We start from the raw sequence: 25,130 nt of genomic DNA on the forward strand, positions 1-25,130 counted from the left end.
CAAAGACAGACCCTCTGACCTCCTGCTGTTCGACTTATGATTGATTAGATAACATTAAAACTGTTCCTTGCCTCTGATTAGGTAATGTCAACAAGAAATAAACTTCTACCCTTCCCCACTCAACTGACTGATGGACCCCTCTCTTGGCCTAAGACATTCCAAAGAAGCCTGGAAAACTAATTCAGGCCATGAGGGGAAGTTGAGTCAGACATGTCTCATGATACCCTCCTCCCTTTGGAATTCAGGCACAATTGACCAGAGATTCTGACAGAGCAGACCCTTTGTAGCAGTAAGAGACCAAATTCCAACCTGACTCTAGTGCAGCATCGCATGACAGATAGCGGGCCCTGAAAGAACCTGCAGTATTTTACCACAAAATGTACTCCTTTTGTTACAGGAAAGGAGTCCCGATCCCGACCCCCAGAGAGGGTTCTTGGATCTCCCACAAGAAAGAATTCAGGGCAAGTCCACAATGCAAAGCAAAAGCAAGTTTATTAAGAAAGTAAAGTGTTGAAAGTGCAGCTACTCCTTAGACGGAGTCGGGCATTTCCAAAAGTAAGAGGAGGAAACGTGTCCACCCTAGGTACAATGCTCGTGTGTGTATGTATATAGGATAAAAAAAGGTCATGGGGAGATGTGCTCTGTTACAAGGGTTTGTAGTAAAGGATTAATTTTCTTAATTACCATATTTTGCAAGAATCAATATTATTATACTTAAAGCAAAATTAGGAATGCCTTTATTCTCAAGATATTGGGATATCTGGACACTCCCAAGTCTGGATCTGTTTAGTAAACCTTCTCAGTCTGTTCCCTTAACCGTAAACCTCTAGCGGCTAGAAATACCTAACTTTCTGGGAATGCAGACCAGCAAGTCCCAGCCTTATTTTCCTAGCCCTCACCCAAGATGGAGTTGCTCTGGTTTGAACACGTCTGACACTTTGAAATATTTTGAAATGGCCCTGCAATGCTTTCTCTTGTGGGGGGAAATTTACGCTGTGTAGAGAATCCCCCTTCCCTTCCAGGCCTTTTCCTGATCCAGGAGAGAATTAACTAAGATTCTGGCACCTTTTAAAGGTCTGAATAGGAAACATTTGCCATCTATAGCATCTAAGGGCAGCTGCTGAAGAGATTTCACCCACATAATCAGAACCCTGTTGTCCACAACCCCAGCACTCCTTTCGATTCATTCCAGGTCTTTAGATAATAACTCTTTCAACCAATTGCCAATCAGAAAACCTTTGAATCCACCTATGACTTGGAAGCCCCCTGCTTCAAGTTGTCCCACCTTTCTGGACCAAACCAATGTACACCTTACACGTATTGCTTGACGTCTGCTTATAACTTCTGCCCCCCTAAAATGTATAAAACCAAGCTCTAACCCAACCACCTTGGGCACATGTTCTCAGGACCTCTTGAGACTGTGCTTCAGGCCTTGGTCACTCATATTTGGTTCAGAATAAACCTCTTTAAACATTTTACAGCGTTTCACTCTTCATCAACATTAAAATTAGAACTTTTTGGCTGGACGCAGTGGCTCACGCCTGTAATCCCAGCACTTTGGGAGGCCAAGGCAGGTGGATCACGGGGTCAGGAGTTCAAGACAAGCCTGGCCAACATGGTGAAACCCCATCTCTACTAAAAATACAAAAATTAAATTAGCCAGGAGTGGTGGTGCATCCCTGTAATCCCAGCTACTCGGGAGGCTGAAACAGGAGAATTACTTGAACCCAGGAAATGGAGGTTGCAGTGAGCCGAGATCGTGCCGCTGCACTCCAGCCTGGGTGACAGAGCAAGACTCTGTATTAAAAAATAAATAAATAAATAAATAAATAAATAAATAGAACTTTTTTCCCCCTGAAACTACTTAACTAGAAAGAAAAACAATCCTTGTTCCAAAAACTGATGGAGACTTCCTCTTCTGCGGAACAACCCTAGCTGTGAGTCAACTCCTCTGCAACTGGTTAACCATCCCTGTAAAATTCCAGGATAACCCCCCAGCCACGACACTGGTCTTCAGATCTGGGGTGTTCTCCTATGGTGACAGCCTAAATAAAGTCAGTCTCCTCCCTCACCCAACTTTGGCCTTTGATGCAGCAGTGGAGACAGCATACCATTTTTGGACAGTGGGATGTACTCCCCTCTCTCCCACATCCCCATCCATTTATCTAGCTGCTTCTCCCAGGCACTAAGATCCAGAGTCCCTCTTTGGCCTACAGTCTGGTGGGATCAGACCCTGGTTCCACCCTCACTCATCCTGCTCATGCTACAGACCTCCTGGCTGTAACAAGAACCCTGGCTCAAGACATCCATTCAGATGTTCCCTCCCAATGAACCTGTTTAAATGACTTGACTCCATTTTCCCCAAAACTTATCACTCCTAAATGTATCAATTTCACTTACTGTCTCCTCCACTTGAAAATTAATACCATCAGATCACTGCCCAGGAAACAGGCACACAGACAGACTCAGTGAGCACCTCCAGCCCCCCACCACCAACAACCACACAGTGAGGAGGGGACTCCACCCCAGCCTCATGCCAGTGCAGGTGAGGTATGGCTGTGACAGTCACATGGGGCAAGGACCCCTGCTGGGGCATGGTGACATGGGAAGAACTGTGATTATATACAGCACAACAAATGTCCTGCAGAAAATGTAAAAGTCAGAAATGTGAGTAAGTGTTCGATCGGTCTTCCTTATTCTGGACTAAGCTACTTTGAAAAAGTAAGAAGCCGCTGAAAATTGACATTGTGGTGTATAACAGCCAGTTCTGGGCATGTTCAGCCAACAGTTTCAAGATCCTCCAGACTAAAACACTGCTGGTTTTAGATGTTGGGGAGCCAGTGTCAGGGTGACAAAGGCCATGAAGTGGGCAGGCCGGCCTGGAACTGACTGAGGGGAGCAGTGAGCAGTGGTTCTCAGTGCAGAACCACCCAGACGTCAGTTTTTATGGAAAGAACCCATATAAGAATTAAACAGGGAGGTTACCTAAAACCTGTTTTTAAGTTGTACCTGTTTACCTAAAACTAACTCTCTCCAATTTGAAATTAAAGAAATAATGCTATGCTTATCTTAAACCTAGATTTAATATCTATTAAAAAAAATGAGTATTCTCGTTTGATCACATGAGTTCTTTCTCAACAGCAAATGAGAATTTTGATCTGGAAAAGATGACATTTCCAGAAAGTTCTATTTCTGCCTGTTGCTCCCCACTCAGTACAATTATGCATCTTGGTAACTTGAGATGACCAAAGGAGAACTCTGAAACGTGGATGAGGAGGGTGAACTGGTTTGGAATCCAGGGTAGGAGGAAAAATATAGTGGTGGGGCACCCACACCCTCCACTCAACAGAAGAAGGTAACCCAGCCAGAATTATTCCTGGCCCAGCCTAGCTACAGAAGACAGCCCAGATGGGCTCTGTCTTCCTTCAAGCTGAACACGAGTCCCACCAACAATACCAGGTCAGCCCAGAAGAACCAACTAGGGAGAGCAATCTGAATCTCCACTGACAATAAGTGTTCCTCTTCCCATCAGTGAGCCTGATGAATCCCTTCCCCAACCCAGACACACTGAGGCCAGGATGCACCTATGAGGAATATCCTGCTCCCAAACTACCTGGGCTGGGAAATGCTCATGGTCGGCACTGCTCCATAGTTGGGGGAGAACCTCAAAACAAATGAGCAAGTCAGAAGATCCCATCATCCTAGGGACACCAGGTGGCCTGACCTGGGTATTTTCTCCACATCCTCAAGCAGCATCAGCAGGGAGCAGTGGAAGCATCAACACCAATGATAAAGCAAGCAGACCAAAATAGCATGGCATCAGCTCCCAAAACTAGACAGTCATTGGAGCCGCAGTGCACAAAAGTACACCAGGACCTTTGTGCCAAACCTGAAAAGGGTAACTGCTTGCTAAAATTCAACTTTTAAATATAATCCATAATGTCCTAATAGCCAGTTTTTCCAGTATATATAGATCATCTGTCATGCAATGATCCGGAAAATTAAAACTTGGATAAGAAAAGACAATCAACTGATGCCAACACTAGGAGAAGTCAGTTGTACAAATTATATGACAAGGATTCTAAAGCCTATATTACAAAATGATGCAATAGGCAATGAATAAGCAATAAATAAATGAACCAAATGAAAACTAAACACTGAAAAATATGATAATGATAAAATAAAAATAAAATACTTGCTGAATGTGTTCAACAGTAGAGTGGAGACGACAGAGTATAGAATTAGTGAACTTTGGGTCAGATCAATAAAATTCATCCAATATGAACACAGAGAGAAAATACTGAAAAAAAAATGAACAGAGCTTTAAGACTGTAATTCAACATTTGTATCACTGGAGTTCTAGAAGAAGAAAAAGAGAATGGGGCTGAAGGAATATTTGGATAATTGTTAACTGAAAATTTCCCGATTTTGGTAAAAGAAATCTAAAGTTCACAAAGCTGAGAAAACTTCAAAAACAATAAACTCAAAGAAATCCATACTAAGCCACAACATAATCAAATCCCTGAAATTAAATAAAAAAAAGAAATTCCTGAAAGCAGCAAGAGGAAATGACAACTTATCTGTAGGGGAAAATCAATTTGAATGACAGTACATTCCTCATTAGAGACCATATGGGCACAAGGAAGTAACAGAGCATTTCTCAAGGGCTGAAAGAAAAGAACTGTCAACTAAGAACTATGTCCAGTAAGACTTCCTTCAAGAATGAAGGTGAAATGAAACTCTTCTAGAATGAAGAAAAACTGAAAGAAGTTGTTGCAAGTAGATCTAGCTTAGTGAATGAATGGCCAAATTCTTTCTTATGAGTTCTAGCCACCAGAATAAGGCAAAAAATATATATTAAAGGCATAAAGATTGAGAAGGCAGAAATGAAAATGTCCCTATTAGTAGATGACATAATGATCTATGTAAAAAATACCAAGGAATTTTTTTTTTAATTCTGTAACTAATAAGTGAACTCAGCAAGGCCATGGTATACAGGATCTACACACACAAATCAATCACATTTCTACACGTTAATTATGCAGATTTGGAAACTGAAATTTAAAACACAGTACCTTTCTCTTCAAAGAATATTAAATACTCAATTATAAATCTAACAAAACTTGTCCAGGTTATGCACGCTGAAAATTGTAAGATGTTGATGAAAGAAACCAAAAGAGACCTAAATAAATGGAGAGACATATCATGTCCAAGGGATGGAAAGTTCAACATAGTAAAATTGTCAATTCTTCCCAAATTAACTTATAAGTTTAGTGTGATTTCTATCACATCAGGTCAAGTTTTTTAAAATAGGCATAAGCAAGCTTATCCTAAAATTTATTTGCAAGCATAGGCTTTAGCAAAGACAATCTTGACCAAGAGTTAAGTGGGAAGAATCACTCTATCTCCCTCTGATCCACAAGCCCACCCCTCTTTTCTCCACTTAAAGCCACCTAGTGACTGCACCTTGGTTAGTTGCCTCAGAAACTGATGTGTATTTGTCTCAAGATTCATCCCTCAATACCCATCATTTTCTCCAGGGCTCTTACAAGATACTAACGCATCCTGGATAGAGAAGTAGAACGTCTCCTTCAAGACAAATTAACCTGTATATTGAAAAAGTTACAGAACTACACCCCTCTTTGGAGTGCACTTAAGGAAATGGAATCTAAGTATATTACATCCCAGAGGATAAAATACAAGGCTTGAACGGGCCAAATTCCTGGACAGGCACACTCACCGGGAGTTTGAGATTTAATGTGTTAGCTGACCCCTTGGAATAGGCATTATTAATATGCACAGTTGGTTAATATTGGGCATATAGAGAAAGGAGTCCAAAGGCTCAGATTTTTATGTGTCCCTTACTCAGCTGTCCCCTAGCATTCCCTGCAAGAGAATCCAGTGGACACTTCCTGCATTGAAGCATTAATAAATGCAGTGTTGCAGGGGCCACCAGTGTCCTTAGAAGTCTCTGATATCTGTCCTTTGGAGACTGTTGCTGACAGTAGGAGAGGCAGTAATGGAATAAAGTTATCTTTTCTCAGTGGGAATAATGGGATTCCAAGGTGGTAAAGACCAGCGGTGTGCTTAATTGTCATAGTCAAGGTTGGCACAGTTACCACATTATGCTTCAGAGGTCTGTGCCAAAAGGCAAGTGGATCACAGAGCTCAAAGCAATGGCTTCTATGGGAAGCTTGACATAGAAACCTGGAGAGAATCTGGACCTGGGGAGAAGCTTCAGTCATCATAAGAAGGATGAATGACACAAGCTGCTTCCCAGACCTGAGAGTGTTCCTAGCCTCACAGGTCATTGATTGAAGAGAGGTCAGCCAGGTGCATTTGAGAAAGATCCTGCAACAGACCCACGGATGCATTTACTGCTCTTCCCACACCTTCCTCAGAGGGACCTGTGGCCATTTACCAGGTGACTTTTGCATTCCAGTAAGAAATATCCAGACGGTCCTAATGGTTTTAAATTTTCCCTGATTCTCAGAGATCCAAAACATCCTCTGGTCCTTAAGACAGAATAGAGGCTTATGTTGGTCAAGTGACAAGTGCATTCTTGTGCTAAGTCCGCATAATAATTGGTCCTATGAAATGGTGGACCCTTCCTATGGTTATTCCCCTTCTCCAGAATGAATGCTGAGAGAGATCATGTTAAATAACCATTAGAATGACCAAGTTTGTTTCCTATTACATGAGGAAGTTGCCCATCTCACACCAAGATGGTAACACAAAAGAAATACAACATCCTGATGGTAATTTTAGGAGTGACTTAAAATTACCCTACAAAGTGAGAAAAAGTTGTACCAATCATCAAAAACAAGAAAAAAATACAATTCTTGATGGTCCACTTTTAATTTCGAAGGCAGCATATAACATATTGGATTCGCTGCTCTGACCCATTAGCAGGTAACCTCCCAAGGCTGCAAGGTTTGAGGGGGACCAGAGCAAGCAAGTGCAGCTCACAGGTCCAGGTTGCCACACTGGCTGCCCTGCCACTTGGGCCTTGTGAAATAGCACAGCACAGCTGCAGGTATCCCAAGGGCAGACACACACACTGTAGGGAGATGCTGGCAAGCCTTGAGGGGAGAATAGGAGTGCAAACCTCAGGATCTGAATGAAGTCCCTGCCTTCCTGTTCTGACTAGTGTACTAGTCTTCTCTAGAAAAGCAGCTCCAGGCTGCCACTGGGCCTTGGTGCAGGTTGAAGATCTGACTGTGGAAAACAGAGTGACTACAGAACTTGGGCTGTGCGTCACAAGCCAAGGGCTATCTGATCCACTGAACCATCAAGTCAGATGTGCACAGTGATCTTCTGTTATGAAGTATGTTGCATTTACAAGACTGGGCCCCAGCAGATCTGGAAGGCGCACATGCACTGCAGGAGGAAGTGGCTCAGATTCCCATGGACTCTGCTGCTGCCACGTTGCCTGCGTGGGGCCGTGTGTCAAAGGTAAGGCACAGCTCCTCATGCAAGCTCAGGCAGGACCAGATCCTCGTCTGCAGCACACAGACCCTTCATCTGGATTTTCATGGTGAATTCAGACAGTAAAAGTGTGTCCTCACCGTCCCTGTGGTCTTCAGGACTTTATGCACGTGATGTCGGGCAAACTCTAGCAAGGACAACTGCCTGTGGCAGTCCAACATTTATAGCAAAGGCACAGCTGGTTTCTTCGAGGTTGTCTTTTTCCATCATAACGACACAGGATTTAATAAGCACTGGATTGTTCACCTAATAATTCTGTAGACAGCGTCAGGAGGGAGTGTGGGCAAGCTCGCGTGGTCTCTTGAGTGGAAAAGCTCATGGCACTTTTAGTGTCTCCTTTCTTCAGAAGTGGACTTTTCATCTGCTGAGGAGCAAAACAGTACATAAAGCTGAGTATCTTCCATCTGCTCCTCCTGCCACACTCCCATTCCCGGACAGCATCAGCAGTGCTTCCTGTCCCCTGGCTTCCAGCTAGCTCAGTCCACGTACAGAGGGAAGCCACAGGAAGAAAGGCATAAACTCAGGATGATTCCCACAGCCCACCCCCGGCCCTGGCTACCAAGTGTCTCATGCTGGCACAGCCCCAGCAGAAGGCCACGGCTCCCGTCCAGTCCCTCTGGACACAGCTCCCTGCATCTCCAGGTCCTGGTCCCCCACCCCCCCCCCCCCCCCAGAGGCCCACAGCTGCCTCCTCTCACTGGCCCTAAAGGATTGCACCATCCCTGGCTGCAGTCACTTGCACTTACCCAATGTGGGCAGACACCTATTTCCAGCCAGTTCTCTGGCTGCTGCGCTAGGGAAATGGAATCAAAGAGCCAGGCAGTGCTGAGGTCCTGTCTGATGCTTGAGATCTTCATTTAAAAATAAAACCAGCCATCCCTGTGGGATGATTCACCTCAGCAACATTGAGGGGCAGTAAAGGTAGCATGGGGCCAGTTTGTTGGTTGACTTTTAAATTTTAGAGCATAAACAAACAACTAAGCTACGAGGGAGTTGACAGGGGAATTTAAAATGTCCTAGGCCAATGAACGAGAGGTTCCAGCAGGGGCAAGTTTTGTTTTAGAGGGTAACCTGGGGTAAATGACTGGAAGTGTTGGAGCGTCAGAGAAAGACCACAGAGATGAAGGACCCTAGGCAGGTCCTGGAGACCCAGGGTGGGTGTAACACGGAGGGGAGTGGGAGAAGGGGGTGGGGGCAGAGAAATCAGAACTGTGGGGCATGAATAGGAACCTCGGGGGAGGCTGGGGGTATGAGCAAGAGGGAGAAATGAGCCCGGAGCTAATGGTTTTTAAGAATGAGAAGGGATGGGCCGGGCACGGTGGCTCATGCCTGTAATTCCAGCACTTTGGGAGGCCGAGTCGGGTGGATCACGAGGTCAGGAGATCGAGACCATCCTGGCTAACACAGTGAAACCCCGTGTCTACTAAAAATACAAAAACAAAATTAGCCAGGCGTGGTGGCGGGTGCATGTAGTCCCAGCTACTCGGGAGGCTGAGGCAGGAGAATGGCGTGAACCCGGGAGGCGGAGCTGGCAGTGAGCTGAGATCGCACCACTACACTCCAGCCTGGGCAACTGAGCGAGACTCCATCTCAAAAAGAAAAAAGAAAAGAAAGAAAGAAAGAAAGAAAAAAGAATGAGAAGGCATGACTGAAGAGTAGAGAGAGGCACCAACGAGGAGAGGCAGTGGGTGGGAGATGGGGCCTGAGCATTGTAGGGGATGACGTGTTAAAGGATGAAAGAGCAGATGGGAGCTGAGCTGGAAGGAGCCGGACATGAGGGAGCCCAGTGCTGTCCCCAGCCATCCTGATGTGGGATAGAAGAGGAAACAGTGCTTTTCAGTGACCGGCTCAGGGATATCCAGGTCCAGTGAGACCAAGCAAAGTACGGGCAGCACGGGAGTGGCCAGAAGAACCCTTCCCTGGACAGGCTGTGGCAGGGGCTCCTCCGGGATATCCAGTCAGCTGCACGTGTCTCAAGGCTTCTGTGTGACGTTGTCCAACACTGCATTTTAAAATAAACTACGGTTGCACGTCAGCTTTGCTGTCAAGGAATTCAAAGGGCATATAAACACTCCCAACCTTTCAGGGAAGAACTGTGTTGCCATTCGACAATACAGACTCTAAACAGTAGACAGGGACACCCATCCTGAGGGCACCTGTGACAGAAATGGGACCAGAAAGGTCTCCTGCCTTGCAGTTCTTAGTGCCCTGAGCATCTTGGAACTTTTGAAGTCAGACGCTTGACACACAATCACTTCGGAGCAGTGTCCCCATTTTCATTCCAAGGTGTCATGCACAGAAGATCAGAAACTGAAGAAGGGCTTCTTCCTCTGGGGCATAGCCATGATACTGATGAGGCAGAGCAGAGGAGACCTCGCAGGAAGCACAGGGCTCCCCCTTGGTCTTTGTTCTCATTACCCTTACCTCACAAGGAATGCTTCACAAAAGAACTGCATTTAATAAACACCGACTGAGCCACAGCGTCCTGCAGGGAGAGCAGGACTGAGGGTATCGAGTGTACGTCTGTGTAATTGATGGAAATAGCATGCACCACTTGCAAAATGGAAAAATCATTACTCTAAGCTGTTAAATATGTAAGATATCCTTAAAAGATACCTATGATCTTCTGCAAGTCAAATTTCTGGACTTTTAATTAATAACTTTAAAACTGCAGAGAAAAATATAAATGGATAAAATGCAATTTTACATAATGTAAACTACTCCAAAGCCTTTTATCAAGGAACAGTTTATTTTAATACATAAAATGTTTCCTTACGAGCAGTAAACCTTTTCCCAGAAAGTCTATATTCAGAAAGCATACAATTTGAATGCTGATTATTTTAACATGAAAAGTGATTACAAGAAAAACAAACTGTGTTTAGCCTCAGGAGAATTGACAGTTAAACAGTACAGTCAATTTTAGGTGGATGTGTGTCTTTTCCTATGTATAGCAGGAAGGGTTTTTAAACATACGTATTTTTCTGGAGGGGAATCTTGAGTAAGTTATCTCACATCTTTCTACATTTTGTCCTTGGGGAGAAAGGACACACAGAGGAGGTCATGGTGTTCCAACATTCGCTTGAATTAGAGTGTTAGTGTCAAGGTCTATTCCACTGTGTCTCTGTAGCATCTCCAGGGTAAGCACCTTTTCTTCTTCAAACAGTGGGGTCAGGGTAGTTTTATGACTAATGGGTTGTGATGGATGAAGTTTCCTTTAGTCTTCGAGCAATAGATGGATGTCTATTAATTCCATCCCACCACCACATGAGCCACAAGGAGATAACACATCCCAACAGTGCAGGACACAACCATCATTGGGAAGCCCAGCCTGAAATACAAAGAGAAATGAGTTATGGCATCTGAAATCTGGATAATCTCATGAGATACGGACTCATAGCTCATGAGAACATGGCCTTAGCACCTTTGCATTTTCACAATGGCCACTACCTTTTATTTCCATAAATCAGGAAGTTAGTTTTAGACTAAATTATGTGAATGCATGCTTCTATTAGACATCCTCCATTGTGTGCAATTTTATTTGAGAACTGCTTAAGGTTTTCTCAAATTTTTAATGGCTATATGGAGCCTCTGTTTGTTCATCTATATTAGACTGTTGGTCTTTCAATGCCATGTGCTGGGCCACCATTTAAATCTCTGGATGTTTCCTCTACTTGTGTCATCTTCCAACTTTTCTTCTCTGGAGATTTCCCAGAGATCCCAGCTTCCAGCAGGCTCCTGAAGTCCCTCACACTTAAGGCCAAGGAGAGCTTGATAAGTAGTGTTGGAAACTAAGGCCAACTGTTGTCTAAGGAAAGGCAAAGGGAAGAAGAAGTTTTTCTTCTGTAGCCGGTGAGGTGTGAGACGTGTGGACAAGGAGGGTATGCACAGATACAAAAGCAGTCATGAGAAGAGAGAAGCATCCCTCATTGTGTGCCTCCTCCAATGTACACACATCTCCACAAATTCCTACCCCAGCTTCCAGGCACTGACAGATGCCACTTGGCATGGGTAATGCACGCTCTGTAGCCATTGCTCAGTGCTGCCTGGTCACTAAGGGAAGCCCCTGCAAATGTTACAATTTTGGTTTCAAAAGGCTTAAGTTTTAGCAGTAAGAGCCTAGCATGTGGCAATTATAAAGACATTCTCTCTTCCCTGGCCATAAGTGTAGGAAGAGGCTACTCAGAAAGAGCCACAGCAAGGGTTCCTCAACAGAGCTACAATTAAACACAAAAACTGATTCCATGAGCGAGACAGCTCCCGAAATTATAGAGTAGACTTGGGCATTTCAAGAAAGTGGTAGGATTCTCTTGGCTTCTCTTCTGAACACATTTTATTTTACAAAACAAACAAAAAGAAACACAGAACATATTTTGGGAAAACTACTTAAATTTCTTGAACTTTATCAACTTTGTTTTTGAAAATAGCTGAACATGTTTGCAAAATGTCAGCCCTGATCATTGAGTTCTGGAAAAACACAACCCACGACAGTGTCTGGTCAACTCCAGGCATCACAGACATCACTGCAAGCCTTCATGGAAGCACAAAGCCTTCGTTCCTCTGTGACAGATTGTGTAGAGTGAGTCAGTGTCAGGTAAGATGCCGAGAATCTCAATCCGGGTGCTGAGACACCTGGCCATGTTTTAGAAGCAAATTTGCCTGCCAAGGGGTGAATTCCACAAAAAGCAGACCTTGCTTGAGAAGCCCAAGACTGGAGAAAGTTCCTGGTGGGTGGTTTTGCCGTGCTCCCAAGTGAGAGCCACTGATGTCTTGAGGATGGCACCAACGCAGAGAAGGAGCATCACCTAGCATCACCAAACATTTTCATTTCACCCAGAACTGATGCAATCACTCAGACCCATCAGAAACCCTACTCTCCCTCACAACACCTAGTCACTGTGACACTCTCCATGCACAGGACCCTCTCAACTGCCCACAGTGCCTTCTGGAATTGGCATCATCACACCTACTGCAGAGGTGGGATGTTGAGAGGTAAGCAGGCTTGCCTGGGTCTCTCAGCTAGTTTGCTCTGGTGTGACAATCCAAATGCATCAGTCTAACTCTAGTTAGATTGTGTGATTAAGAGTGATTAAGAGTGTGTACTCCTAATCACTACATATGCTGCCTCCCTGTGGACATGGATAAATCATAACAATGGCAACCTGCCATTAGTAGGTAAATGACTTACTGAATATCTGCTGTATGCTAAGGGCCTCATAGACTAGACGTTGACATTATCTATTATTTCCCAAACATGGTGAGGCATGTCATGTTACCCCTATTATATAGATGAAGCAACTGAAGCTTGCATATAGTAGGGAACTTGACAAAGGCCACCACCAGTAAAAGGCAGAGATGGTGTCTTGGAATATTCTTCTGGCTTCAAAACCCAAATGCATTTTCCCAACAGAGACAGGTACCACAATACACTAGCTTAGGGCTCTAGTTTTCAATTCCTGCTCTTGCCCAGTGGCATCACCTTGGAAAAGTATTAAATGTCTCCATAACTCAATTTCTTTATATATAAAATGAAGGTAATAACAGTACCTAAGAGAGCTATGAGGATTCCATGAGTTCACTCTTATAAATCCCTTAGAACAGTGAGAACAGTGGCCACATAATGAGCCCTCAACAAGTTTTAGCCACAGACCAGTGCTCCTCAAACCGGGACACCTGCCCCAAAGTGCATGTTGACTGGGATTACAAAGTGCCCAAAATCACAGAGTAAGCCTGGAGCACCTCCCTGGTGCATGAGTTGTGTTTGGTGGTAAGGAATTTAATGATACAAATACATAAGGGTTTATCGGAGAAGAGAATTTTACTCTCAAATTAAAGATGATAAAGCAGGCTTCTAGTTCTCAAGCAAGATGAAGTGGATGCGTTTCTTCCAATTCCTCCCACTAAGCAGAGCTAAAAGCTTGGCATTTTATAGAAAACAAGCATAAGGAGACCATAAAGATGAAGAAGAGGCAGATCAGCTGGGGATCTTGGGGTCCCAAAGAATGGCATGGAGGTGGGTTTCCTTTTTGTTTCCCCTCATATATCCTGGACTAGGTGCTGGGAAGCTGATACGTCAGTGGGTACTAGAAAGAAAACAAAAAGCCCCAAGAGAAGCCTGCTCTCCCTAGCCAGAAAGCCAGGAAAGGGCACTAAAGCTAGACATAACACTCCTAGATAATAACCACTCCTGCCAAATTCCACGGGAAAAAAAATTAAGCTCCTTGGTGAAGGCCAAGTGGGAACCAGAACTTCCACACTCACCAGGCTGTAGCAAGCCCCTCTCCTGTGGTAACAGCAGAGACCACGTGGGGATCCCACGAGCCAGGGGTGTTTCAAGTTGAATGAGAAAAGCCAATCAACAGAAGCCAATACTGAGGTGATACAGATGTCGAAATTATCTGAAAAGGATTTCAAAGCAGCTACCATAAAAATTCTTCAACAAGCAATGACAAACACACTTGAAATAAGTGAAAAAAAATGGAAAGTCTCAGACAAGAAATTAAAACTATAAAGGAGGACCACATGGAAATTTTTCAGTTCAACTGAAGTAAAACTCTAACGGAATGGGCACAATAATATAATGGAGAGTATAAAGGAAAGAATCGGTGAACTTGAAGATACAACAACAGAAATTGTTCATCTGAAAAATGAAAAAAGACTAAAAAAACAAAAGGAACCAACCCTCAGGGATCTGTGGGACATGAACAAAAGATCTAACATTTGTATCATCGGAGAAAGAGGGCAGGGATGAAAAAGTATTCAAAGAAATAATGATTAAAAAATTGGTAAAAGATATAAACCTAGAGATTTAAGAAGCTGGGAAAATCCTAAAAAGGCTAGGCACCCCCCAAAATCTATGCCAAGACACAACAATCAACAAATCAAACTCGTGAAAACTAAAGAAAGATAAAATTTCTTGAAAGCAGTCAGAGATAAATGACAATTTACCTATAGAGAAAAACTACAAGTTTCTCCTCAGAAACTATGGAGGCCAGAAAAAAGTGGCATAATATTTTTAATTGATAAAAGACATGAACAATCAACCCCAATTTCTATATCCATCAAAAATATCCTTCAGGAATAAAGGGAGACTCAAGACACTCTCAGATGAAGAAAAACTAGAAGAGCAGCAAACTTACCCTAAAAGTACTGCTAAGAAGGTCTTCAAACAGAAATGAAATGATAAAAAGAAGGAATCTTGGAGTATCAGGAAGGAATAACAAAATAAAGAGCAAATGTATGGTTAAATATGATAAACTTTCCTTTTCATCTTGAGTTTTTAAATTATGTTTGATGGTTGAAACAAAATAAATAGCAAAATAGTAAAAGCACGGATAAAGAATAAACCACACAAACAGTAATCAAAAGAGCAGGAATGGCTATATTAATATCACATGAAGTATATTTCAGAGCAAAGAACATTTCCAAGGCAGAGAGGGATATTGCATATAGATAAAGCAGTCAATCCACCGAGAGATCATAGTTATCCTGAATGTGTATTCACCAAATAACTGAGCTGAAAAATTGAAACAAAAACTGACAAAATGACAAGAGAAAGTAAATGACAAGAGAAAGTGGCACATGCACAAATGGATTGTAGACTGACAAATCCACTATTATAGATGGAGACTTTTATTCTCTCTCTCTGTAATTCATGGAAGAACTAGAAAGAAATTCAGCAGAGAGAACTCAACAATATCTTCCAGCAATCAAATCTTGCTGATACTACAGAGTGCTCCAGCCAACAACAGCAGAATGCACATTCCTTTCAGCATCCAAGAAACATTTAGCAAGACAGATCATATCCTGGACCAAAAAATAAACATCAACAAGTTTAAAAGAATTAAAATTATACAGAGGGTTTTTTTTCTTACCATAAGCAATCAAACTAATTTTGATTTCAAATTTGATTTGATTTGATTTGCTAGTTTGATAAGAAATCAGTAACAGAAAGGCAACCAGAAACTATCCAAGCATTTTCAAATTAAATATTATACTTCTAAATAATTCATAGATCCAAGAGATTGTCACAAGGAAAGTAAAAAAACCACATGGAACTGAATGAAAATGGAGCATCATTTTCTAATTTATGATCTCTGTGTTACCTCAACCCTATAAAGAAAATCATCTAGGAAAAGAAAGCAAATTAAAAACTACAGCTAACATGTCACTTGTTGAGAAGGAAACGTATAGCACTAAATGTTTGTATTAGAAAAAAGAAAAGGTCTTAAATCAATAATTTAAGTTCCCATCTTAAGGAAATAGAAAAAGAATTTAAAAATAAACCCAAAAACAAGCAGAAGAAAAGAAATAATAAAGATAAGAGCATAAATTCATGAATTTAAAAATAGGAAAACAGTGGAGAAAAACCAATGAAACAAAGCTGATTTTTTAAAAAAGATCAATAAAATTAACCAGCTTCTAGAAGGACTGACAAGTAAAAAGAGAAAAAAGAGAAATGGTCAATATCAATGAAACAGGAGTCATCACAAAAAACCTTCAGGATTTAATCAAAAGATTAAAAGTTTCTCATATTAACTACTGTTGTACTATTAACAATTGTATACATATACATTTAACAACTAGAATGAAATAATTTAAATCACCCTATATATATTAGAGAATTTAAACTGGTAGTTAGAGACCTTCCAAAAAAGAAAATTGTAAGGCCAGATTGTCTCACTGGTGAATTCTGTGAAATATTTAAAGAACTAACACTAATTCTATACAAATGCTTCCAGAAAATAAAAGGGGAGGGAACATCATTTTCTAAATTATTTTATGATCCCTGTATTACCTCAACCCCATAAAGAAAATCATCTAGGAAAAGGAAGCAAATGAAAAAACTACAGCTAACATAATACTTAATAAGGAGAAACTGAATGCTTCTCCCCCACAGGATTCTCACCACTCTTATTCAACATAGTACTGAAAGCCCAAGTCAGTATAATAAGGCAAAAGACACATAGACTAAAATAGATGAAATAAAATTCTCTCTATCTGCAGATGACATGATAGCTTACATTAAAAAATCCTAAGAAATTGAAAAAAAAAGCAAAACAAAACATTTCTAAAACTAATCAGTGAGCAGTAAGTTCAGCAAGGACTGCAACACAAGATCAACATTCAAACCTTATTTTTTCCTATAAACTACCAATGAATACATAAAAATTAAAATTAAAAACACAATACCACTTAAAATCACTCCAATTAAAATTAAACACTTAGGCATAAACTTAAATCTTGTTTTAAACTTAAATCGTGTTTGTAACTTACAGCACACCAGCATCTGTGTGCTGTAAGTTACAAAATGGTGATTAAAAAAAAAAAAACCCAAAGCAGTTCTAGATAAATGGAGAGATATAGAGTGTTCATTAATGGAAGACTCAACATAGACAAAATGTTAATTTGCCCCAAATTGATTCTAGGTTTAATGCAATTCCTAGCAGAAATTTTTCTAGCCATAGACAAGCTTATTCTAAAATGTATATGGAAAGGCACAGGCTCTAGAATAGCAAAGACAATCTTAACAAAGAAGAACTGAATGGGAGACCCTCTCTATCCAACATGAAGGTCTACTATGTAGCACCAGTAATTAAGGCAATACAGCACGGATGCAGATATAGACACATGGATCAATGGGCCAGAACACAGAACCTGAAAACAGACCCATAAAGACATGCCCAACTTATTTTTTTTAAGATATGGGGTCTCATTCTGTCATCCAGTCTGGAGCGCATTGGCGTCATCACAGCTCCCTACAGCCTTGACTTCCCAGGCTCAAGGGATGCTCTTGCCTTAGCCTCCCAGCCAGCTGGAACTACAGGTGCCACCATGCCCAGTATGCCCAGCTTATTTTTGACAAAGATGCAAAAGTGAGTCTTTGCAAGAATAGCCTTTTCTTTCTTTATATTTGTATAAATGTAAGGGGTATAAGTGCAGTTTCGTAACATGGACATATTGCATAGTGGTGAGGTCTGGGCTTTTAGTGTAATATCACCAGAATAATGTACTTTTAAGTAATTTCCCATCCCTCACCCTCTCCCACCCTCCCATCTTTCTGAGTCTACAATGTCTATTATTCCATACTCCATGTCCATGTGAGACAGAGTAGACACAGGACTCAGCCCACCTCCACTATGGTATTTTTCCATACATGCCCATTGACCAGACCTTGGAAGCTCTCTGAAGAAACTGAGATAAGCAGCTTCCCACCATAAATCTTATTCAAGGAGCCATACCTGCTGACTGCAGGACCTCAAAAACCTAAAATAAGCAACATCCTAACATAAATCTCACTCAAAAAAAGTTAACCCCATCACCAGCATGTACCTAAGAGCAGAATAATGAGCCATCTTTAACCCATGACTTATTGTAATACTGAAATCCCCACCCAGGGAGGGGCTTATCTGCCATTTTCTAATCATGTGACGTGTGGATTAGCATGCCCCCTTACTAGCCTGTGCACCCGAACACTCCACCCTGCACATTCAGTGATGCTTACCTACTTCATGCATGTCACCCTCCTTAAGACACCACAATGCACTCCCCTCAGGGTGTCAGCCAGGTAACATTTGTTCCTGCACTAAATCTCCCTTATGCCCAACCTTTCTGGGCCTAAGTCTTAATGGACCTTGTCTAAAAACGGTTTGCCTAGGCTTGTGTTAATTTCTCTTACATTGAGAGCCAAAAATCTCATGCTGATAACACATGTACCTGTTATTAAGCTCCTGCTTATAAGTGAGAACACGTGGTATTTGTCTTTCTGTTTCTGAGTTATTTCACTTAAGAAAAGGACCTCCAGTTCCATCCATGTTGCCACAAATGACGTGATTTCATTTGTTATGGCTGAGTAGTATTCCACTGAGCATATACACTACACTTTAGGATGCCCTTTTTGACAAATACTTCTAGAGCAATTGGGTATCTAAATGTCAGAAAATAAATTTCAACCTCAACCTCACACTTTATACAAACATTAACTCATAATGGATCACAGATTTAAATGCAAAATGTAAAACTACAAAACATTTAGAAGAAAACATAGGATAAAAATCTGAGGCCTACAGTTTAGTGAAGAGTTCTTAGGCATGACACCAAAAGTATGATTCCATAAGAAAAAAAAATTGATAAAATCAACTTCATCAAAATAAAAATATTTTTTAAAACATTTGCTCAATAAATAAAAGACCCTGCTAGGAGGGTATAAAGACATGCTACTGGCTAGGAGAAAACATTTGCAGACCATAGACCAGTCAAAGGATTCTTATCTAGAATATATGAAAAGATCTCAAAACTCAGTGGTACAAACACTAAAAAATCCAATTAGAAAACGAACAAAAGACATGAAGAGACATTTCACTGAAGCTATATGAGTGGAAAACCAGCACACAAAAAGATGCCTCACATCACTAGCCATTAGGGAAGTGGGCAATGATGCGGCTGCTGTGAGTGGTTGCGATGCCGGTGTGATGGAGATGTCCCTGGCTATGGTAGGGCCCTTCCTGTGGGGAGACAGGCAGCAGATGCCCAGGGCACAGCTGGCTGGGAGGCAGGCACCCTCCTGGGAAGCAGGGCTGCTGGGCTGGGAGGAGACTGTGCCTCAGGGAGAAGGTGAGGTTGCCCTGGTACTGGGTGGGAGTGAGTGGTGAGGGCCTGGCCAAATGTAGGTGACAGGACAGCCTCTGTGTCCATTTAACAAGGCAGAGTTTCAGACAGGGTGTGAGGCAGCCAGAGAGACATTTAATATTCACTGAGCTTCAGGAGAGCTGATCACCCCAGGCCAAGGCCAACACTGCCCAGTGTCCTCACTAAGAAACCCCTCAGGACACAGGTTCCAACCCAGCCACTGAGGGGTGGGGGTTTGGGGAGTGGAGAGAGACAGAGAGAGAGGTAGGAGGGAAGGGAGAGGGAGAGATAGACAGAGGGAGAAATGGAAGGCACTGAGAAACAGAAGGGACAGGGGAGAGAGACAGAAGGAAAAAGGGAGAGGGATCAGAGAGGGATACAGAAAGAGGGAGGAGGGAGACGGGGAGAGAGAAAGAAGGAGGGACAGAGGCAAGGAGAGGGGAAGAGAGAGAGGGGAAAATAGAGGGGAGAAAGGAGAGGCAGGAGGGGGAGGAGATTGGCATCAAATGCCAGCTCTAGTATTTTATATCCTGGCTTCATCATCTGCTTGCAGGGTTACCATGAGCCAGCAAAGAATAACACTCACACTGAAAGGCATTTTGCACATGCCACAAGATCCCTGAAAGAGCCCTTATCTCATAAAGATGCACACAGCAGGGCTTCCATGAATGAAAATCTCCCCTTCCATTCCAAAGACAACTCAAGGTAAACTGCTCCCTTTTTACAGACCAGGAGCCAACAAACTACAGCCTCAGGCCAAATGTGGTCACCACCTTTTTCTTGTGAGAAAACTCCACTGGGACTGGGACTCAGCCGCCCATGCATTTGCTTGCTGTCTACGGCCACCCCAGAGCCACCAAGGTAGAGTCCAGTGGAGCAGTTGTGACAGAGGCCTTGCGGTCCACAAAGCCTGAAATATGCATTCACCCTTACTGAAAACACTTGCTGACCCTAAGAATATCAGGTCCTGGGAAGGTGAAGGAGTTACAGGAAAGGGGTCCTGATCCAGACCCCAAGAGAGGATTCTTAGATCTTGCCCAAGAAAAAACTTGAGGTGAATCCATAGAGTAAAGCAAAAGCAAGTGTATTAAGAAAGTAAAGGAATAAAGAATGGCTAGTCCATAGGCAGAGCAGCAGCTTGGGCTGCTGGACTAAGGATACGTGTAGCTATTTCTTGATATTTTGTGTAGATATTTCTTGCTAAACAAGGGGTGGATTATTCATGCGTTTTCCAGGAAAGGGGTGGGCAATTCCCAGAACTGAGGGTTCCTCCCATTTTTAGACTGTATAGACTAACTTCCTGATGTTGCCATGGCATTTGTGAACTGTCAAGGTGCTGGTGGGAGTGTCTCTTACCAGGTGAGTGTAGCAGGCCAGGTCTCACGGACGCAGGCCTCCAAAAAACTATCTCAGCACTGACTGAGTGCTCAGGTTCAACATCAAAAGCTGAGAGAGCCAGTGTCCTTATACAAACACTGGAATGTAAAAAAAGCCCACCAAGAGTTTTGCCCAGGCCTTTCCTGGGCCTTGAAGCATGACAAGATAACGAGGGAATTCTTAACAGGACCCGTTTAGGATTAAACAAGTTTTACTGGGGGACTGAAGAAACTCCCCAGGCTTCCACAAACAAGTTTATCTGGGGTCTGAAGGAACTCCCTATAACTCCATGATTTAGCAAGAGACAAGACAAATCACTCAAGCACCTGGACCCATTTAGATTAAGTAAATTTCCTGAGGCTCCAGAGGAAGGTTTTCAGGATTCAAGTCTTAGTTATGGATTAGAAACTAATCACTTACGTCTTTAGATGAAAGAATCACACTTACATGTAGACATACAGCTTAGAAGGTTATAGCTGGAAGGCTGTAATCTTGAGTTGGTCTGGAGATATTTACCAGACCTTCTCCCTTAACCAGTTATAGAAATAAAATAAAACTCTTTTCCTTTCCCAGGTCATCTGCATCCTGTTATTGGGCTTCAAGAATAATAAGCCCGACCCTCGGTTTGGTCCGGGAACAGGAATGCATTATAATTGGTGTATAATGAGCAGTGCGAACAATCAGAGGTCACTCTCATCACCATCTTGGTTTTGGTGGGTTTTGGCCAGTTTCTTTATTGCAACCTGTTTTATCAGCAAGGTCTTTGTGACCTGTATCTTGTGCCAACCTCCTAACTCATCCCGTGAATTAGAATGCCTACCTTCCTGGGAATGCTGCCCAGCGGGCCTCAGCCTCATTTTAAGATGGAGTCAACCCCTATTTAAGATGGAGTCGCTCTGGTTCAGACAGCTCTGACAAAGGAACTTGTCAGCTTCCTGTCAGCCTCTATCTAAAATGCAAGGAAGTCCAGACCAATAAATATGTTGTGTAGTCTTAAATGTTCAACTATCACATTTTTTAAAGTAAAAGGAAACAGATGAAATTAAGTATAATAATATATTTTATTTAACCTAACATATCCAAAATATTATTTGACCATATAGTCAACATAACATTTTGATGGAATAGTTGACATTTTTTAAATAAAAAAATCCAGTATGGATGTTCTACTCATGGCACTGAAGCATGCCCTGAGAAGGACCCTATGGTCATCTCTGAAAAGAATGTGTGCTCAGAGTTCCCAGCTAAGGAATCTGGGAGCAGCCAACCCAGACATTCGCTCCTTCTCTATGAAGGACACTGACACCGCCTTGTCTCTCTCTCCCTCAGTGGCTGAGTTGGAACCTGTGTCCTGAGGGGTTGCTTAGTGAGGACACTAGGCAGTGTTGGCCTTGGCTTGGGGTGGTCAGCTCTCCTGAAGCTCAGTGAATGTTAAATGTCTCTCTGGAAGCCTCACACCCTGTCTGAAACTCTGCTTTGTTAAATGGACACAGAGGGTGTCCTCTCACCTACCTTTGGCTAGGTCCTCACCACTCACTCCTACCCAGTACCAAGGCAGCCTCGCCTTTTCCCTGAGGCACAGTCTCCTCCCAGCCCAGCAGCCCTGCTTCCCAGGAGGGCACCTACCTCCCAGCCATCCCTTGAACACAGGCAGGCTACCCTGGGGATCCAGGCCCTTGGTTCTGGGCCAAATAGAGGTTGCTAGGTGGAGGGCGCCAAGTGAAAATGCTCTGTAATCTGCCTGCTCTTTACAAACTGGAGAGGATTTTCCTGTCCTGCCCACTGCTCCTGGACCGCCCTGTATGAAATCCTCAATAAACCTTACGTCTCCTTCCCTGGCCCCTTCTTCGCCCCTATCCAGCGGGAAGTCCCAGTTCCCAAATACCGGCCTCTGGAGTTGGGCTACATGGCTTCTCCCTTTTCTAGGTCCTGTGACCGCCATCTTGCTATTACTTGCCTTTGGGCCCTGTACTTTTAACCTCCTTGTCAAATTAGTTTCCTCTAGGATCAAGGCTATCAAGCTACAGATGGTCTTACAAATGGAAACCCAAATGAGCTCAACTAACAACTTCTACTGAGGACCCATGGACTGACCCACTGGCCCTTTGACTGGCCTAAAGAGTTCCCTTCTGGGGCACACTACAACTGCAGGGCACCTTCTTTGCCCCTATCCAGCAGGAAGTCCCAATTCCCAACAGCAGTTGGGGTGTCCTGTTTAGAGGGGTGATTGACAGGTGAAGCCAGCTGGATTTCTTGGGTTGAGTGGGGACTTGAAGAACTTTTCTGTCTAACTAGAGGATTGTAAATGCACCAATCAGCACTCTGTGTCTAGCTAAAGGATTGTAAATGCACCAGTCAGCACTGGGTGTCTAGCTAAAGGATTGTAAATGCACCAATCAGCACTCTGTAAAAATGCACCAATCAGCACTCTATGTCTAGCTAAAGGATTGTAAATGCACCAATCAGCACTCTGTAAAAATGCACCAATCAGCACTCTGTGTCTAGCTAAGGGATTGTAAACACACCAATCAGCACTCTGTAAAATGGACCAATCAGCACTCTGTAAAATGGACCAATCAGCACTCTGTAAAATGGACTAATCAGCAGGATGTGGGTGGGGACAAATAAGCAAATAAAAGCTGGCCACCCCAGCCAGCAGAGGCAACCTACTGAGGTCCCCTTCCACACTGTGGAAGCTTTGTTCTTTCACTCTTCACACTAAATCTTGCTGTTGCTCAAACAAAACAAAACAAAAACTCCTACTGGAGTCAGAGGGGTCGCATGACAATGGCACACCTCTGTTTGGACTTGCCACATTTTAAGCTCAGCAGCCACAATGGCAGTGGAGGAAGGGGGAATAGTGTACTGGACAGAGGGCTCCAGGAAGGCCCGGCTTCCAGCTGAAAGCGGTTGGAAAGGCAGACTTGCAGCTGTGACCTGGCGCAGGGAGGGCCGGCCCAGGATGGGTCTTTCTAGGTGGATGCCTGTGAGGTGCGGCCCCTGCCAAGAAAGCAGGTCTGAGCTAGGCAGGCTGAGGGAGCTCCACCGCCCTACAGGGACCATCTCACACTGCAGCCTCTTCCTTATACATTTTGGAAGTCATGAAAAAAATTCTTCTATTACTGAGAAAAGAAATATAGCTTTGAGCAGTGTAACTTCTGTGAGATATGCAAAATTATCAGGTCCAGAGAGAATCGAGTATGGGACTTCAGTCACACGCCGTCACTCCTCCTCTCCTGCCCCCACACCCAGGGGCAACTGTTTAAAGACACTGTGTTCCCGACTAGCCGCCTCACCTATTATCTTCTCCTGCCTGGAATTTGTGATACAAAGAACAATGTATAGCGAATCAATAGCTTATGTTATTCTAATGTAAATTCTCGGTAACAACTTAGGAAGTGCCAGTTCTTTTTTCCTTAAAAACTCTCTTGTAACTGCAGCTAATCTGAGTGTACATTCAGGGCAAGTAGAATCTATGCTCCTGGCTTGGCCAGCCTCGAGCTTTGGACTCGAATAAACTTTATATTTAGTCATGTTTTATGAATCTTGTTTTTTAGGGTTGACATTAGTTAGAGTCAAGAAGAGACCAGTGATAACCCTGTCTATGGGACCCTGTGGTGGCAGCCCCCGTTCACAGTGGCACACGCCCGAGTTTCTGAAGGGGAAGGCAAGGCCTGCGGGCAGCTCTTTCCCTGGCACTTCAAAGGCTGGCCTGTTTCTTCTGGGGCCGAGCCAGTTGCTTCCTCCCGTGGGATGCAAGCAGCTTGATTGGAGCTTCAATGCTTCATGCGCTGCCCAGCCGGGAGGCAGCCAGAGGGAGATTTATTTGAAGAGAGGATGTTATGACTTCCTGTCGCTGCCAGGACGACTCCAGATACACAGGACACGGATGCTGCGGGTTCACCGGGAGCCTCCATTTCCCAGAAGATCCATTTGTCTTGCACCCTAAGCCTCTCCTCAAGGCAACAATCTCAACCAAAAGCTCAGGAAAAGGGCATTTGTTCAACATCCAGCATCACACTACGCCTTCATCTCCCTCCGGGGTGATTTTCAATCCATTCTGGCTCTCTCACCATGCCATGTTAGGGAAGGCACTTGCGTGTCAAAGCACAAATCACGATGCACACGTCAGATGGACGCCCACACAGCCCCTGTGTTACACGCGTTTAGTTTTAAGTTAAAAACCTGCCTGTGCTGACACACAGTTCTCTAAGGAACCAAGGCTTCCGGATTGCTGGGAAATGGGGCAGCCCCAGAATAGTGCCCGGAGCGTTTCCAACAGAGCCTGGCTTCCAAAAGAAGTGTCTGCTAATGAAGTCTCCTACTTGAGTCTCAGACTGAAACCATTCTTCCTGTTTATGTTTCCTTTCCAAAAGACTACACATTGGGTGCAGGGCACACTGCTAAGGTGAGGGGTGCACCAAAATCTCAGGAATCACCACCTAAGAACTTATCCATGGAACCAGACACCACCTGTTCCCCCTAAAACCTATTGAAATAAAAAAAAAGGCTTTAATAACAAACCATAACTATGGTTTTTAAACAAAAAGCCATTTGGCTGTCGCCCTTCTACAAAGGTAACACATGATTCTGAGCAGAAGGAAGAACTGCTTCTACTTCCGAAGGCCCATGGAGGATGC

General features: G+C 43.4%; 1 protein-coding gene across 28 annotated transcripts in view, besides 1 other annotated feature; it reads right to left on the reverse strand.

Annotated features, from left to right (window-relative positions):
- Positions 1-25,130, reverse strand: part of OCA2 (OCA2 melanosomal transmembrane protein) — a 380,308-nt gene that overhangs the window by 25,649 nt on the left and 329,529 nt on the right. For 20 of the 28 annotated variants that reach the window (XM_047432611.1, XM_047432608.1, XM_047432617.1 and 17 more), the window contains one exon: positions 10,219-10,816. The exons of the other annotated variants lie outside the window; for them this stretch is intronic. In XM_047432611.1, coding sequence (XP_047288567.1) covers positions 10,732-10,816 — 85 coding nt within the window. In that variant the 3' untranslated portion in view covers positions 10,219-10,731. Of the gene's footprint in view, positions 1-10,218; positions 10,817-25,130 lie in introns of those variants that run through there. 28 annotated transcript variants of the gene reach the window in all.
- Positions 6,655-7,156: an enhancer, noted in NCBI's record as "H3K27ac hESC enhancer chr15:27996457-27996958 (GRCh37/hg19 assembly coordinates)". NCBI's record gives its function as "activates a minimal SCP1, AML or CMV promoter by ChIP-STARR-seq in naive H9 embryonic stem cells {active_cell/tissue: H9 hESC(naive)}" and the evidence as "EXISTENCE:reporter gene assay evidence [ECO:0000049][PMID:30033119]".

This window comes from Homo sapiens, chromosome 15 (genome assembly GCF_000001405.40).
Source record: "Homo sapiens chromosome 15, GRCh38.p14 Primary Assembly".
NCBI lineage: Eukaryota > Metazoa > Chordata > Mammalia > Primates > Hominidae > Homo > Homo sapiens.